The sequence below is a fragment of the Homo sapiens genome, chromosome 20, assembly GCF_000001405.40.
Source record: "Homo sapiens chromosome 20, GRCh38.p14 Primary Assembly".
NCBI lineage: Eukaryota > Metazoa > Chordata > Mammalia > Primates > Hominidae > Homo > Homo sapiens.
In genome coordinates this window covers 2,206,362-2,224,220 of record NC_000020.11, presented here as the reverse complement: position 1 = coordinate 2,224,220, position 17,859 = coordinate 2,206,362, and the positions used below count along the sequence as shown (strand labels likewise).

Below are 17,859 nucleotides of genomic sequence, written 5' to 3'. Positions count from 1 at the left end.
CATCCACCTGCCCTCCACTGGAAAACAAGCTTCCCCAGACTCAATTCCCTGTTCAATCCATAAACACTTGGTAGGAACAAAGCACAGGATTGCATGCTGCAGGCAACAGAAAGAAATACTGTATGTACTTCTATATCTCATAGTGTTACCAGAAAGCAGTCTTGATCCAGACCCCAAGAGAGGGTTCTTGGACCTCGTGCAAGAGAGAATTCGGGGCCAGTCCATAGAGTAAAGTGAAGGCAAGTTTATTAAGAAAGTGAAGGAATAAACAATGGCTACTCCATACGCAGGGCAGCAGCGTGGGCTGCTCGACTGCTTATAGTTATTTATGGATCATATGCAAAACAAAGGGTGGATTATTCATGAATTTTCCAGGAAAGGGGTGGGCAATTCCCAGAACTGAGGGCTCCTCCCCCTTTTTAGACCATATAGGATAACTTCCTGATGTTGCCATAGCATTTGTAAACTATCATGGTGCAGGTGGGCGTGTCTTTTAGCATGCTAATGCATTATAATTAGCATAGAACGGAGAATAAGAATGACTGGAGGTCACTTTTGTGGCCATCTTGGTTTCAGTGGGTTTTGGCTGGCTTTTTTACTGCAACTTGTTGTATCAGCAAGGTCTTTGTCACCTGTATCTTGTGCCAACCTCCTATCTCATTCCGTGATTTAGAATGCCTAACTTCCTGGGAATGCGGCTCAATAGGGCTCAACCTTATTTTACCCAGCCCCGATTCAAGATGGAGTCATTCTGGTTCAAATGCCTCTGACAATAGGGCCTCAAATTATTTTTGAATAACGAGCAGTATAAATAAATAAACATAACAGGAAAAACAAGGCATACACACATAAAAAGGTCAAATTCTGCATAAAATACATTGTGAACACACCATATTAAAACAAACCAACCAAAATGCCATAAATAATAAAACGACTGGAAAGAAATATTTCTTAAAAGGTATAAATTATGTTTTGCCTCTCAAATGTGGAATTATATAGGGCTTTTTACTTTTTATTTTTTTTGAGATGAAGTCTTGCTTTGTTGCCCCCGCTGGAGTGCAATGGCATAATCTTGGCTCACTGCAGCCTCTCTGCTTCCCAGGTTCAAACGATTATCCTGTCTCAGCCTCCTAAGTAGCTGGGATTACAGGCGTGTACCACCACACCCAGCTAATTTTTGTGTTTTTAGTAGAGACAGGGTTTCACTATGTTGGCCAGGCTGGTCTCAAACTCCTGACCTCAGGTGATCCACCTGCCTTGGCCTCCCAAAGTGATGGGATTACAGGCGTAAGCCCCCACACCCAACCTATAGGGCTTTTTAAAGCTACATTTTTATATTTCCCGAAATTCTAAAATAAGCACAGACTTCATTTTTTATGGCGAGATAATAAACTTTATTTAAATTAATTAATTAATTCAATAGACATTCATTGAGTGTTCTAGCTACTAGGGATTCAGAAGTGTGTTTGGCATCTGAAGGACCGGAACGGGCAGTGTGGCTGAGGCCAAGGGAGGGAGGAAGGGAGGAGTAGGGAGTTTGGAAGGTAGCAGGATTATAAAGGTCCTTGTAAAGCATGAAAAGATTTTGGGTTTTATTCTAAATGGAATTAACTAAAACACTAAGCAAGGGTTAAATGAGGTTGGGTGTGGTGGCTCACGCCTGTGATCCCAGCACTTCGAGAAGATTGCTTGAGCCTAGGAATGAGAGACAAGCCTGGGCAACAAAGTGAGATCCTCATATCTATGAAAAAAAAAAATTATATAGGCAGTGGTGGCATATGCCTGTAATCTCAGCTACACAGGAGGCTGAGGCAGGAAGGTCGCTTGAGCCCAGGAGGTCAAGGCTGCAGTGAGCCATGATTGTGCTACTGCACTCTAGTCTGGGTGACAGAGCAAGACCTTGTCTCAAAAAAAAAAAAAAAAAAAGGGAAAAAAAGAGTTCAAATGCCCTTGCAGGAGAGATAGCAAAACAGTATAAAATTACATGGTTCAGATAGAGCAGTTAGGACTTCAGAGGAGGGTGAGGACGCTGGGCAGGAGCAGTTAGGGAAGGCTTCAAAGGAGGAGGAAAATGTTGGCTGGACCTGAAGGATGACGTCTCAGGCAGATGAGGAAGGTCATGTGGGCAGAGGGCATGCCACAGCCCTTTCCTTAACAAAATCAAAACCAAAAGCCTACCCTTAGAGATGAATATTTTAAAGGAAGGAAGCTCTGTATTGATAATGGACAACAAGACCTTTTACTTGAGATAAAAATATGTAAAAAAAAAAAAAAGATGGCTGGGAATTGTGAAAATGTTGTCTGATATACCCATATTTGCTCCCATAAGAACCCAGAGTTTGTTAAGCCTCCTGGCTCTTAAGAATATTCACACTAGGGAGGAAAAGAAAATCCCACTAGAGAGCTGCCCAGAGTTTTTGTGCTTTTCTGAACCTATGGAACAATGAAGAAGAGCTTTCAATTCTTTTTTTTTTTTCTTTTCTGCTTTCTTGTTATTCTTTTAAGTGAGACCTGCCTAGCCATCAAATACAGGCTTTTGACTGAATGCAACACAACACAAGCATAAGATATGTGTTCTGAAAAGACAAGTAGGGCTTGGCTCCCCCAAGTCATTGTAATGGTACAATTTTAGAGTGCTTCAGGTACAGACAAAGTGCCAGGCACAACATCAAGTCAACCATGAGGGTCACTCAACAAGCAATTACTGTACAAGGGGCCAGAGAAGCAAGGAAGGGGGAGGAGGCCAGGGCAGTGTTATAAAAGTAACTGAAGATTTCTTGTGTTTTGTCCTCCCACCAAACAGAAGGCAGCGTGGGCCCAGCATTACTGATCCCCAACCTAGCAACAGAAAGCAGCTCAGTGGGCTCATTCCTCCCTCAGATTTAACAAGAGCCCTTCCAACAACACCAGGTGAGCCTGGCAGTACTCACACAAGGTATAGAGAGGGAGTTCTGCTTCAAAAAAACTGAAAAAAGGCAGCCAAGGGAAGTGCTCTTCTTCCCTGCTGGGCCTGAGACTTCCATACCTCACAAAGAGATACTAGGGTAGTGGGGTGGCACTGGTGGGAGGAACTCAGCCATAACAAGCAGCCCAGCCCAGCCCAGTCCAGGAAGGCTCTCTATCCTCATAGGCCTGAAACTCCATTCCCCCAACCCAGGGACATAGGAGGTAGCCCGTGGCACCAATAAAAGAAATTCTGCCGGCCGGGTGCAGTGGCTCATGCCTGTAATCCCAGCACTTTGGGAGGCCAAGGCAGGCAGATCACAAGGTCAGGAGTTCAAGACCAGCCTGGCCAATATGGTGAAACCCTGTCTCTACTAAAAATACAAAAATTAGCCAGGCGTGGTGGTGGGCGCCTGTAGTCCCAGATACTTGGGAGGCTGAGGCAGGAGAATCACTTGAACCCGGGAGGTGGAGGTTGCAGTGAGCCAAGTTCGTGCCACTGTACTCCAGCCTGGGCAATAGAGTGAGACTCCATCTCAAAAAAAAAAAAAGAAAAAGAAAAAAGAAAAATTGATTCTGCCAAAAGGGCATGGCCTAAGAAGCCTCTTTGTCTCCACAGACCTGAGACTCCACTCATCAGTGGAGAGAAATCTAGTGGCCCTGGTCCGGGGAAAGTCCTTCTGCCCCCTTAAGCAGCACCAGCAAAGACCTGTGAGAGCCCCAGCAGTGCCAAATACACCAAACAGACCCAAATAACATTGTAAAGCCTCTGAAAATGAAACTGTCATGTAAACCACAGTCCACGAAAGTGGCCAGGACCTGTGTGCTAAATGTAAACACAGTGAGTGCCTACTAAAATAAAATATTTAAATGGGACCCTGAATATCCTAACAGACAAAATGTCTGAGATACAATTTTAAAAATCATCTGTTATACCAAGAACCAGAAAAATCACAACTTGGATGAGAAAGAACAACCAATCAACTGATCCCAACCAAGGTGAATTAAATGTCAGAATTATCTGAGAGGACTTTAAAGCAGTTGTCATAAAAATGTTTTAAAAATCAATTACCAATTCTCTTAAAACAAAAAATAGAAAATCTCAGCAATAAATAGAAGTTATAAAAAAGAACCAATGAAAATTACAGAACTAAAAATATAGTAACAGAAACAGAAATCTCAACAGATAATCTCAATATTAGAGGGGAGATGACAGAATAGAATCAGTGAACTTTAGGACAGACCAACGAATTTAACCAATGTGAGAATACAGAAAATGGACTGAAAAAAGAATGAACGGAGCTTCCAAGGCTTGTAAGACTATAACAAAAAAGCCAACATTTGTATCACTGAAGTGCCAGAAGGAGAGGAGAATAAAGGGCCTAAAATAGTATTTGAATAAATAATGGATGAAAACTTTCCAAATTTGGCAGACACAAATCTACAGATTCAAAAGCTGAGCAAACCCCAAAGAGAAACCCAAAGAAATCCATACCACAACACATGATAATTGAACTTCTGACGACTGGAGACAAACAAAACATGCTAAAAGCAGCCAGGGAAGAACTATGCACCACTTATAGGGGAACCCAATATGAATGACAGCAGATTTCTCATCTGAAACCATGGAGGCCAGCTGGAAGTGGCACAACATTGTTCAAGTGCTGAAAGAAAAGAACTGTCAGTCATGAATTCTATATCTGGCAAAATTATCCTTCATGAATAAAGGGGAAATAAAACCATTCTCAGACAAAGGAAAGCTAAAAGAATTTGACACTAGCAGTTAAATCCTTAAAGATTGGCTAAAGAAAGTTCTTTAAATAAAAAGGAAATTATAAAAAAAGGAATCTTGGAGCATCAAGAAGGAAGAAAGTGCAGTGGAAACAATTAGAAATATGTGTACATACAATAGACTATTCTCATCATGAATTTTACAAGTCATATTCACCTATTCTAGCAAAAAATAAAACCCTATCTGATACTCATGCAAATTATATTTAAAATCATGGAAGGTAAATAGACCTAAATCAAAGTAAGATTTCCACACTTCACTCAAAATGGTTAAGTCACATATGTATAGTGTAATACTGACAGCAACCTTTAAAAGAATTATACAAAGAGATACACTTGAAAGTCTTGTAAATAAATCAAGATGAATTTCTAAAAGATGTTCAAGAAACCCAAAGAAAGACAAGAGAGAGAAACAGAGGAATAAGAACTAGAGGGAAAAAACAGAAAACAATAAAATTGCACACCTAAGAGGTAATTAGTAATATCAGTAATTTATCAGCAATTAGCAATATCAGTAATATTAGCTAATATCAGTAATTATCTTAAGTGTAACTTGTCTAGATACAACAATCAAAAGACAGAAACTGGCAGAGTGAATTTAAAAAAGATCCAAATACATGCTGCTTATAAGAGACTCATTTGAAATTCAATAACATAGGTAGGATGAAAGTAAAAGAATATCATATTAATTTTAAAAAATCAGGAGTAGCTACATTTATATCTGATAAGGTAGATTCAAAGCAAAGAAATTTACTAGAGACAAAGAGGAACATTACATAATGATAAAAGAATCAATTTACCAGAAAGACATAACAATTCTAAATGTGCATGCACCGAACAACAGCAAAAGCAAAAGCAAAAAATGATAAGAGTTGAAAGGAGAAATAGATAAACCCACATTACAGTTGGGGACTCCAACATCCCCCTCTAAGCAACTGATGTGGTTTGGATTTGTGTCCCCCCCACCAAATCTCATGTCTAATTGAGGAGGGGGCTGGTGGGAGGTGACTGAATCATGGGGTGATTTCCCCCTTGCTGTTCTCATGATAGTGAGTGAGTTCTCATGACATCTGATGGCACTTCCCCCTTTGCTCTCTCAGTCTCTCCTGCTCCACCACGTGAAGATTGTGCCTACTTCCCCTTCGCCTTCTGCCCTTATTGTAGTTTCCTGAGGCCTCCCAGTCATGCTTCCTGCCAAGCCTGGGAACTGAGAGTCAACTAAACCTCTCTTCTTCATAAATCACCCAGTCTCAGGTAGTTCTTTATAGCAATACGAGAACAGACTAATACAGCAACTAATAAAATGACTAGATGGAAGATCAGCAGTGATAGAAAAGAGCTGAACAACATGATGCTCATTTTACGACATGCTTTTCATCCTCTGGGAGAAACTTGTCTACCTCAAAGAGATTCGTACTTTGGGAAAATCCCTTGAGGAGCTCACCATGTCCCTACCTGCTGAGAGCACAGACAAGCATAGTACAGGCTATGTTAGAAACAGGACAGAAACTTCATAGGTATAAGTATCATACGTAGGTCCTTAAGGTCCTGGAGGAAACCTTAAAGGTCATTAGCCCAATGCTGATCCCAATGCAGTTATTTATTTCTTAAGTTATTGCCTCCACCAAACAATCTAGCTCTGTAATGTCCAACTAAGGGCAAGAGAAGGCAACTTTCCCCTTTATGGGCCATTGTAACTAATGCTCAGTGTCAGTGAGGGAAAAAGAATCGACACCATGGCTATAGCCCATACTCCAACAGGCCTCATGACAGAAAGCTTGCTGCCTCCCATTCTTTCTTTGGTTGTTAGAAAGTTTTTTCTTATAAAATGAGAAAAATGTTTCCTACAGTGTTGTTAGGTAGTTCCAATTAGTACAGTTTCAAGAAGATGACAATATGGGCCGGGCATGGTGGCTCATGCCTGTAATCCCAGCACTTTGGGAGGCCGAGGTGGGCAGATCACCTGAAGTCAGGAGTTTGAGACAAGCTTGGCCAACATGGTGAAACCCCGACTCTACTAAAAATACAAAAATTAGCTGGGTGTGGTGGTACACAACTGTAGTCTCAGCTACTCAGGAGGCTTAGACAGGAGAATTGCTTGAACCTGGGAGGCGGAGGTTGCAGTGAGTGGAGATCACGCCACTACACTCATTCTGTTGACTGGGCAACAGAGTGAGACTCCATCTCAAAAAAAAAAAAAAGAAAGAAAGAAGATGAAAATATGCATAAATTGCCCTAAAATATTTATACCCCCTCAACCAGCAAATCAGAAATGTGCACTAAGATTGATTACAGATTTTATAGCAACATTGCCTATCACAGACAAATCTTGATTAAACCTTAATGTCCGACAAAAGAGGACTGGTTGAATTAAATTACAGTATACTCATAGGATGAAATCCCATCCAATCACCTAATTAAAAATCCTATTTTAAAAGAATACTTAAAGGCAGGGCACAGTGCCTCATGCCTGTAATCCCAGCACTTTGGGAGGCCAAGGCAGGATTTCTTGAGCCCAGGAGTTCAAGACCAGCCTGGGCAACATGGTGAAACCCTATCTCTACAAGAAATACAAAAATTATCTGTGTATGGTGGCACATGCCTGTAGACCCAGCTATTTGGGAGGCTGAGGTGGGAGAATCACTTGAGCCTGGGAGGTCAAGGCTGCAGTGAGCTGTAATTGTCCCACTACACTCCAGCCTGAGTGACAGAGTGAGACCCTGTCCCCCCCAAAAAAAAAAAGGACTTAATGACACGGGGAAAGGTTCATAATATATTTTAAAGTAAAAAAAAAAAAACAGGTGTTACATATACATGTATGCATATACAAGTATAAACAAAATTAATAAAATAAAATATACAATTAATATGCTATTAACAGTGACTATCACTAACATTAGAAAGAGATTTATTCAGTGCTTTTGTTTTCCTCATATTTTATAAAAGTTTCACTTCTGTAATCAGAGAACAACACAGTTTTCTTTTTGTTGTTGTTGTTTTTTCTTTTCTGAGACAAGGTCTCACTCTGTTGTCCAGGCTAGAGTGCAGTGGCTTGATCATGGCTCACTGCAGCCTCAACCTCCTAGGCTCAAGCAATCCTCTAGCCTTAGCCTCCTGAGTAGCTGAGACTACAAGTGTGTGCTACAATGCCCGGCTAATTTTTACTTTTTTGTAGAGATGGGGATCTCACTTTTTTGCCCAGGCTGGATTCAAACTCCTGGGCTCAAGTGATCCTCCCACCTGTGCCTCCCAAAGTGCTAGGATTACAGGCATGAGCCACCACACCCAGCCTTTATTTTGATTTTGACTTAAGAATTTTACTCTTCCTCACAACAGCAATTGGCCTACCTCTTGCTGTCCCTTTCCTCCCATCCATCCTTCACCAGTCCCCTGGGGCTCTGAAAGTTTCAATTCCACTGCTCTTACTTTGCCTGGCCCCAGGATGCTCCTGTCTCCCTAATTATTACTTTAGCCCAAATACAACCCACAACCCCCTTTCTTCTTTCTCTTCAGCAGGCTAAGACAGGATGGCATTTTCTAAAATCAGTTGGGAGAATGAAAAGGAAATAATTACAGAGAATACTAGCAGCAGCAAAAGGGGCGTGGCAAGAATGGGCTTGCTCACCCAACATGCCGTCTACCCCTGTGCTGTCTAATATGGCAGCCATTAGTCACATGTGGCTACTGAGCACTCGAAATGTACCTGGTCCAAACTGAGATGTGCTGTATGTGCAAAATATGCATCATATTTTGAAAGCTTTATTTATTTATTTGAGATGGAGTCTTGCTCTGTTGCCCAGCCTGGAGTGCAATGGCACAACCTCAGCTCACTACAACCTCTGCCTCCCGGGTTCAAGCAACTCTCCTGCCTCAGCCTCCCAAGTAGCTGGGATTACAGATGCCTGCCACCATGCTCGGCTAATTTTTGTATTTTTAGTAGAGACACGGTTTCACCATGTTGATCAGGCTGGTCTCAAACTCCTGACTTCTCAGGTGATCCGCCCCCTTCAGCCTCCCAAAGTGCTGAAATTACAGGCATGAGCCACTGCACCCGGCCTGAAAACGTTATTTTAAAAAAGAGTGTAAAATATCTCTTAAATAATTTTTATATTGATTACATGCTGAAATGATTTTGGATATATTGGGTTAGATAAAATAAATATTTAAACATTGATTCACCTAGGTTTCTTTTTTTACCTTTTAAAAAATGTGGCTACTAGGACATTGAAAATTATGTATGTGGCTCTATTTCCACTGGACAGTGTTGCCCTAGGGGCTCTTCCCCCTTTCTCGCTTGTCTCCCTCTCCCAGAGAGGTTACAAAACTAAATACTCATTTTCCCATCTCTCTTTCAGCTAGGGATGGTCGTAGTGACATAGTTCTGGCCAAGTGGAAGGCTGCTGGGGTGGGGATTTGGATGGGATTCTGGGAAAGTTTTGGCTTTCCTGATTTAAAAAAGACTGACACAATACACCTATTAGAATGAGTAAAATCAGGAACACTGATGACACCAAACACAGGTGAGGATGTGGAGCAACAGACACTCCCATTCATTGCTGGTGGGAATACAAAGTGGTACAGTTATTTTGGAACACAGTTTGGCAGTTTCTAACAAAACTAAACACACTCTTACAATCTCACTGCTTGGTATTTACCCGAAAGAACTGAAAACTTATGTCCATAAAAAAACCTGCACACAGATGTTTACATCAGCTTTATTCATAATTGTCAAAACGTGGAAGCAACTAAGATGTCCTTCAGTAGATAATTGAATAAACTATGGTACATCTAGACAATGGAATATTATTTAGTGCTCAAAAGAAATGCGTTATTGGCCAGGTGCGGTGGCTAACGCCTGTAATCCCAGCACTTTGGGAGTCTGAGTCAGGCGGATTGCTTGAGCTCAGGAGTTCACAACCAGCCTGGGCAACATAGTGAAATCCCGTCTCTACTAAAATACAAAAAAATTAGCTGGATGTGGCAGTGTGTGCCTGTAGTCCCAGCTACTTGGAGGCTGAGGCAGGAGAATTGCTTGAACTCGGGAGGCAGAGGTTGCAGTGAGCCAAGATTGTGCCATTGCACTCCAGCCTGGGCAACGAGAGTGAGACTTCATCTCAAAAAATAAAAACAAACAAACAAGAAATGAGTTACTAAGCCATAGAAATACATGGCTTGATATGTATTGCATATTACAATATGCATATTACTAAATGAAGAAAAAAACAATCAGAAAAGGCTGCCTACTATATGATTCCCATTATACGACATTCTGGAAAAGGCAAAACTATGGAGACAGTGAAAAGATCAGTGGTTGCCAGGGGTTGGGGGAAGGGAGTGATGAATAGGTGAAGTATTGAAGAGGATTTTTAGGGCAGTGAAACTACTCTGTATAAGACTATGAGACTATAACAGCGAATGCATGTCATCACAGGAGTATCCAAACCCACAGAATGTACAACACCAAGAGTGAGCCCTAATGTAAACTGTGAACTTGGGGTGACTGTGATGTGTCAATACAGATCCATCAGTTGTAACAGATACACCACTTGATTCAGGGATGTTGATAATGGAGAGACGGTGGGTGTGGAGGGGTGGGTAGGAGGTGTATGAGAAATCTCTGTATCTTCCACTCAATTTTGTTGTGAATCTAAGAAAAAAAAATCTAAAGCCACTTAAATAAATAAAGTCTTAAAAGAGAACGAGAATGTTAAAAAAAAAAAAAAAAAAAGACCCAGCTGGTATTGCCCCTTCCTCCCTCTCCCATTTCTTCCCGTCCCGAATGAAGGCTTAATGCCCAGAGCCGAGGCAGGCAATTCGTGGCCAGGAGAACAAAAGCCAGCCTGCCAAGGGAGGGGAGATGTGAGGCCTGAATTCTTGCTGGCAAGGTTTAGCAACTGAACCAAGACCAATTCACATCTCTTGTCATGACAGAAAAATAAAGCCCTGCTTTTCTGAAGGCACCTTAAGTGGTATTCTGTTTCTTGCAGCTGCACATATTCCTAAATGACAGAACAGACAAGTCTCCATAGGACAGGCCTCTGGCCCTAAGCCAACACATATGTAGCCTCTGTAGCTGCCACAAGCTTCCTAGCTGCCTCCTCTAGGCTCTTCCCCCCGGACTCCTCCACTGGCGCAAGGCCCCCACCTTCGTTTGTGCCCACACAGGAACTATCTCATCTCCTTATAGATCAAGACCCAAGAGGCCCAGTTTTAAAACTTCTGAAACCCCCTAGGCTGCTTCAGTTTTTGGTCTGGGGAAACGTGGTGGTGGGATACGCTAACCTCATCTCCAGGTCACACGCCTCCAAGGGGAAGTAGTCAACACCATCAAGATCTACAGGATAATACTTTAATTACGAAAAGCACAAATTATGTATCATTGGAACCAGCAAACACACAGTAGCAGGAAGGATGCTTGCTCCCAAGGCTCTTCAGTCATCAGAGGACACACTCAAGCCCCACCTGAGTCTTCTCCCCATTCCATCGGCCATCCCTGCTCAGGATGTGGTACCAGGGCCATTCCCAACAGCCTCATCTCAGTAGACTCCAGTTTGTCTAATTCTCCTTCAATGGTGCTCCTGGGAGAAAAGAGAAGGCTGCTAATTTTCATGACACAAACTCTTCTCACAGCATGGAACCACCAAGACATCAAAATACACCAGCTGCCTGAATCTGAAGCGCAGCCAAACAGAAATGAGATTTTTGTGGATGCTAATAGGCACTATGCAGCCTTAGCACCAGGGATCATTTGCTCTAGTTCTAGATCCAACTTGTGTGACTGTGGGCAAGTGACTGTTATGAGAAAGCCTCAGCTAAAACACCCTCCTGGTCTCAGAGCTTCTGACATCACCCTAGAGCAGTTCCTCCTCCATCGTGAAAAGCAGTTGAATTGGCAAACTGTGACTGTGACAAATGTCTCAGTAAACAGCGCCCTTCATCCAGGTGCACAGGCCCAAGCCTTGAGGTCACGGTCGATTCCTCTTTCTCTCCCACCCAACATAGAACTCATTAGCAGAATGTGTAAGGTCTGCCTTCGGAATGCATCCCAAGTCCAAGTGCTTCTCACCTTTCTTTACTATGCCAGTCCAAGCTATTGTCACCTCGCACGTGGACCCTTCTAAAAGCCTCCTTGGTCTTTGCTTCCACTCTCACTCCCTAAGTTCTATTCTCTACCCAGTAGCCGGAATGTTCCTATTAATCAAGTCTTGTCATTCCTCTGCTTTCACCTCTCCAATGTCCTCCCATCTCCTTCTGAGTAAAATCTAAAGTGCTTTCCATGGTTCCGAGGTCCTGGTAATCTAGACCTCAGCCTCTTGTCTACCTCCACTGGCTCTATCATTCCCTCCTCTCCAGCTGCTCTGGCATCCTACCTCAGAGACTCTGCACAGCTATTTCTTCTGCTTAGAACATTCTTCCACCATTTATCAGCCCTCACTTCCTTCAGCCGTCTGTTCATTCTACATCCTTGGAGAGGCCCTGCATGGCACATATTTTACTGTCTGTCTCCTCCTACTAGAATGTAAGCTCTTTGATGGCAGGATCTTTATTTTGTTTCTTGCTCTATCCCCAGCCCCCTAGTAAAGTGTCGGAGAATGTGCTGAATGAATGAATAAACACTGCAAATGCATAAATAGCTTGCTCAAAGTCCAACAATGTTGCTGACTGGCTTTCAGAGTCTCTACTGAGGAATAAAAAGAAATTTGTTCTTCAGTATTCCAGAGATGTCACAGGGCTCACTTTGGTTGAATCAGAGGTAGGATGCCCCAAGTTCTACCTGTTTAGGTAGTTATTCTCCCCAGAAACAGCTCCTGGCAGGATGAGGGAGTCCTACGAATTCTAAAACCCCCACAGAACAGTATTTAAAAAGTACTAAATTAGAGGTTTCTAAAGGCTTCTCTAACCCAAAACTCAAATACAGTGAGTGGATCAGAAGAAGCAAAAAGACCTTCCTTGGTCTGTCCTTCCCCTACAGCTGCTACACTTCTCTGGAAGTGGCCACAGAGGGACAAAAGAAGGAATCTGATGCCCTGTGACATTATCACCCTGATAGAGTTGCAGTGCTAAACTCTGATTGAGCCCTGCTGTTTCAGAAGTGTAATGTCAAGCAATGCACTAATGAGATGAGGAAACTGCATCAAGGAAGCCAGCTCATCCTTGGGGAGATGAGAACACACTGCCTGACGTCAGCATGACACCCAACTCCTATCTTAGCACAGGCTACAGATATTATGCTGCTGTCAGCTTCATTACGGAAACAATACAGAAATCTGCAGCAGACATTACTCCCAGCTTCTGGACTGTGAATCAATGACACCAATGCTTCAGGAGCCAAATTGGAAGGCTAGACAAAGTCATCAAACTTGAGGATTCAACAAGGTAATGGGACTGAATATGGTTTCTGGCGCAGAGCTGCTATTAGTCAGGGCAATGTGAAATTCACTGCTACTAGAGCTTCCTGGGTGGATTCACTCATTCATTCAACAAACATTTGCTGGCAATAAAGAGATCTGCCAAGCAATAAAGAGAAGAAAAAGACTACAAAAGATCACCCTGCCTTTTGTGAACTAACAATGTAATAACCATGATGACAGTGCTAAAAAAGAGCAGCCAGCTGGGTGTGGTGGCACATGCCTGTAATCCCAGCACTTTGGAAGGCCGGGGCAGGAGGATGGCTTGAGGCCAGGAGTTTGAGACCAGCCTGGGCAACACAGTAAGACCCCATATTTATTTATGTATATTTTTAAAAAGAGCAGCCAACATTTTTTTTTTTGAGCACTTGTCCTAGCAGGTACCGCTGGATTCTTTTTTTATTTGTTTGTTTTTTATTTTTTGAGTCAGAGTCTCTCTCTGTCATGCAGGCTGGAGTGCAATGGCACGATCTCAGCTCACTGCAACCTCCGCCTCCTGGGTTCAAGTGATTCTCCTGCCTCAGCCTCCTGAGTAGCTGAGATTACAAATCTGCACCACCACGCCCGGGTAATTTTTGTATTTTTAGTAGAGACGGGGTTTCATCATGTTGGTCAGGCTGGTCTTGAACTCCTGACCTCATGATCTGCCTGCCTCGGCCTCCCAAAGTGCTAGGATTACAGGTGTGAGCCACCATGCCCGGCCATGCTGGATTCTTTAAGTGCAAGATCTCACGCTATCATCACAACAGCCCGGAGTATTACTGTCCTTGTTTTGAAGATGAAGAAACTGAGGCTCAGACATTGATTCAAAATCACAGCAGGGCTCAAATCCCCTGACTATAAAAGCCAATGCCCATAACTGCTAGGAAACACTGCTTACTCTAACCTAGTGCATTAACCTAAGTGGGATAAATAGGGACCTTACACTCTGGTGAGTGAAGGGAGGTTTCTGAAAACAGAAAGAAGGCCAGGTGCGGCGGTTTATGTCTGTAATTCCAGCACTTTGGGAAGCCAAGGAGGGAAAATCCCTTGAGCCCAGGAGTTCAAGGCCAGCCTGGGCTACATAGAGACACCCTACCCGTTCCTACAAAAAATGAAAATATAATTAGCTGGGCATGGTTGTGTGTGCCTGTGGTCCCAGCTACTAGCGAGGTTGAGGTGAAAGGATCACTTGAGCTCTAGAGGACGAGGCTACAGTGAGCTGTGACTGTGCCACTGCACTCCAGCCTGGACAACAGGGTGAGACCCTGTCTCCAAAACAAACAAACAAAAAACAAAGGGCCAGGCACAGTGGCTCACACCTGCAATCCCGGCACTTTGGGAAGCAGCCAAGGCGGGCAGATTTGAGATTAGGAGTTCAAGACCAGACTGGCCAACATGGTGAAACCCCATCTCTACTAAAAAATACAAAAATTTAGCCGGTCATGGTGGTGCATGCCTGTAACTACTTGGGAAGCTGAGGCACAAGAGTTGCTTGAGCCGGGGAGGCAGAGGTTGCAGGTTGCAGTAAGCCAAGATCATGCCACTGCACTCCAGCCTGGGTGACAGAGCGAGACTGTCTCAAAAAAAAAAAAAAAAAAAAAGAGAGAGAGAGAGAAAGAGAAGAATATGGTGAATATGATGTTCTTGCCAATGGAAGAAGTCAGTCCAGGAGCCCAAGTCTGGGAATCCATAACAGGGGCCGGATTACACTGCAAGCAATAATGAATGTAGCTGCCAACATACATTTTATTTCCAACTGAGAAATAAGAAGGCCTCAGAGGGGAAAATTCACTTTCCCAGACTTTTTAGTGGGGTGGAGGGGTAGAATCATTCTCATTTGACCCCCGTACATCTTGACATTTCTACTTATTAGAAATTAAAGTATAAATTAAGAAGCTTACTCTCCCTTCTCAGAATCCCATAGCTTCTCATCTGTAACTTCCTCAAAGCACCTGCCACCTTCTCCTACTACCCTGGAGAGTTGCTGACAGATGCTAATTTAGTTTTACTAAATATATTACCTTACCGGAAAGGCTAAACATGCATAATAGATAATACCAGCTACCCTTTGTTGAAAGAGGCTTACAGATGGATGAGGAAACAGTGACCTGCCCAAGTAGCATTATCAAGACCAAAATCCACCTGACTCACAGCCCAGTGGTCTTTTAAGGACACGATCCTGCCTCTTCTACAGAACCATGTAAGACGCTGAAAAACTTTGGGAAATAAAAGGAGAAATGCAGGCAAATGTTTCTGTAATCCAGCCAGAGACTAAGAGTCCTTGTAGCAGGACAAGTGCAATCCTTTCCAACCTCACAAGGCAAACAGACGATAATAGTTGTCAAAAGACAAAAATTACAAGAAATTTAGTTTAAAATCTTAATTGGCTTATATTTGCATTCTAGAATCAGCCGATGCCTCGTTCTATAAAACAGAATGAGTGCTCTGATGAGCTGAGCTGAGGAGGCTGGCTTTATAGACAGAAAAGGGCTGAAGAAAGCAGAAACACAGAACAAAAAGCGAATTGGTTGTTTCAAAGTTATTTTCCTTGTAAAGGTTAAAGCAGAGAGGACTTCCTCATCATGCCAGCTAAAGCTGGTTTACTTGGGCATTTGGCTATATTAACTGTCTCTCTCTCCTAATTTCTAGGAAAGTCAAATAAGCAACTTAGTTTCAGCTTGGTGGCACGGAACTTCAGCATAAGTGACTCCATGTTGGGTTGATCTGTTGGGCATAGTGCAGGAGCTCAGTCCAAACCAATAGCCTCTTATAAATTTTATTTAACATAGTGATAACAACAATATGACCATGGTAATAATAGAGGCAGCTTACTATGTGCCTGGCACCATTCTAGGGACTTCACAATCTTTTTTTTAATGTCCTAAGTTCTTGAAGGCAAGGGGCTTTACAAATATTAACTACTGTAATTATTATAACGGTATTAAGTGGGTACTATTATTATCCCCACTTTTTAATGAGGCAAGGTTGAGAGGTCAACTAACTTGCCCCAGGCAAGCCCATGAGCACTTCCCACGTGCTAGAAACTAAGTCCAGAAATTGTACTAAGTACGATTAACTCGTTTAATACTCAAAGCAATCCCAAGATACCTGCTATCATTATCAGCACTTTCAGAGGGAACCAACAGAGCTCAAGGCAGCCTGAACCCGGAGCCCGCGCTTAGCCACCAGCTGCGTGGCTGCGGGCAGGGCGAGCTGACCCAGGCTGGGTGCGCGTGGGGCGGGGGCTGGGTAGAGATCTGTTCGCTCGAGTCCTCAGCAAGGGCCGCACTGGACGTCAGCTCTGAGTGTGACCAAGGCCCCCGGCTTCTCCAGATCTGGACGCCCCAGCCCGGGAGCTCCGTGCCAGCGAGCCTCTGAGCATCGCGGGCCGCTACTGCCCCCTGCCGCCGCCCGGGCCTTGCAGGGAGAGCTTGCCCGGAGCAGAGGCGCACGGCCACCGGGCCCCGGCAGCTCCCAGCCACGACCACCCAGAGACCCCGCAGAGGAAGCGGAAGCCGCCGCCCGGCACTTTCTGAATTCCCCTCTCCGCCCTCAGGTCCCTGCGGCCTCCCGTCACCTGCGTCACTTCTCGTGGGCTGGCGGATAGAGCCCGGCGGCTCCCCCACCCACTCGGCTCGCAGCCCACGCTCCCGACGCCCGAGTTGCCATGGTGAAGGACGCGGGAGAAACGCCGGAAGGGGCACGGACCCCAGGGAGAGCGCGGAGGCGGCCACGCGGGTCCTTCCTCCACCTGGGCCCAGGCACTTCCGGTCTCGTAGGCGTCGGGGAAAGCTCTTTGCGGACTTCGCTGCGGGCTTAGGACCTCCGACATGAAGGGAAGCGGGGGCTGGAGGACGCAGAGACTCTCCCTGGGCTGCTCGAAGGCCAAGGCTGTAACGCGGCTCCGGTCCTCGTTTTCCCGCCGTCGGTGCTGGCTGCCTGCAGTTGCCATGGTGACGCGGGCCGCGGGGCAGGGCAAGGTCCCAAGTCGCGTGCAGTTGCTCCTCGCCGTCGCCACTCTCCTGCCCCAGGCTGTGGGTAGCAGACGTCAAAAGAGATACACCAGAGCGCGACCCGGACTCAGGACCGCCCGGGTGGGGGCTGCTTCGGGCATTGGACACACTTCCCGGGCGCCTCGTGACCGCACACTCCTGGCCTCACACCTCGGGGTGGGTTTGCACGAGGGGGGGCCGAGCCCTGTCGCTGAGCGACACTGACCTTCTTAAGGCCACCTAGCTTTGGGTACAATGGATGTCTCATACTGAATTTTAATCAGCTTCTTACTGGAGGACATTAATGTTTGTTCAATCTTCGTTACTACAAAAAATACTAGAGTGGAGTGGTAATATCCTTGTATGTACGTGCACACGTGCAACTTTCTCTGTAAATTTCCAGAAGTAAAATTTCTATGTCAAAGGCCACATGCAATTTTAATTTTCATGAATATGACTAAATTGCTCTTCAAAGACACTAGCAAATTTACATCTCCACCAAAACTGGAGTCCGATAATTTTAATTAGGATTATATCAACAGCGATGAACTGTTGCAAAAGAATTTTCCAGAGCATTTTCCATTAAACCAATTCTTTGATCAGTTTTTTTTAATACAACATAGTTAAATAGTATCCATATCCATTTTTATTTTATGGAAATTGTCTTTACTGAGTGATTCTTTTACATATAAATTTCATGATAAAGATTTTACTTCTTTAAAATTTGTATGTCGAATTTTACT

The 17,859-nt window shown here is 44.0% G+C and overlaps 1 long non-coding RNA gene across 1 annotated transcript, besides 2 other annotated features; it reads right to left on the bottom strand.

The window, feature by feature from the left end:
* Window positions 1-11,069: 11,069 nt before the first annotated feature.
* LINC03086 (long intergenic non-protein coding RNA 3086) lies at window positions 11,070-17,293 on the bottom strand. The gene is made up of 2 exons (NR_161305.1): window positions 16,702-17,293; window positions 11,070-11,312 (listed from the first exon to the last, which is right to left on the bottom strand). It is a non-coding gene; the product is annotated as a long intergenic non-protein coding RNA 3086 (long non-coding RNA).
* Window positions 16,702-17,202: an enhancer, noted in NCBI's record as "H3K4me1 hESC enhancer chr20:2187665-2188165 (GRCh37/hg19 assembly coordinates)". NCBI's record gives its function as "activates a minimal SCP1, AML or CMV promoter by ChIP-STARR-seq in primed H9 embryonic stem cells {active_cell/tissue: H9 hESC(primed)}" and the evidence as "EXISTENCE:reporter gene assay evidence [ECO:0000049][PMID:30033119]".
* Window positions 16,900-17,019: an enhancer, noted in NCBI's record as "active region_17463". NCBI's record gives its function as "activates an Ori minimal core promoter by ATAC-STARR-seq in GM12878 lymphoblastoid cells {active_cell/tissue: GM12878}" and the evidence as "EXISTENCE:reporter gene assay evidence [ECO:0000049][PMID:35858748]".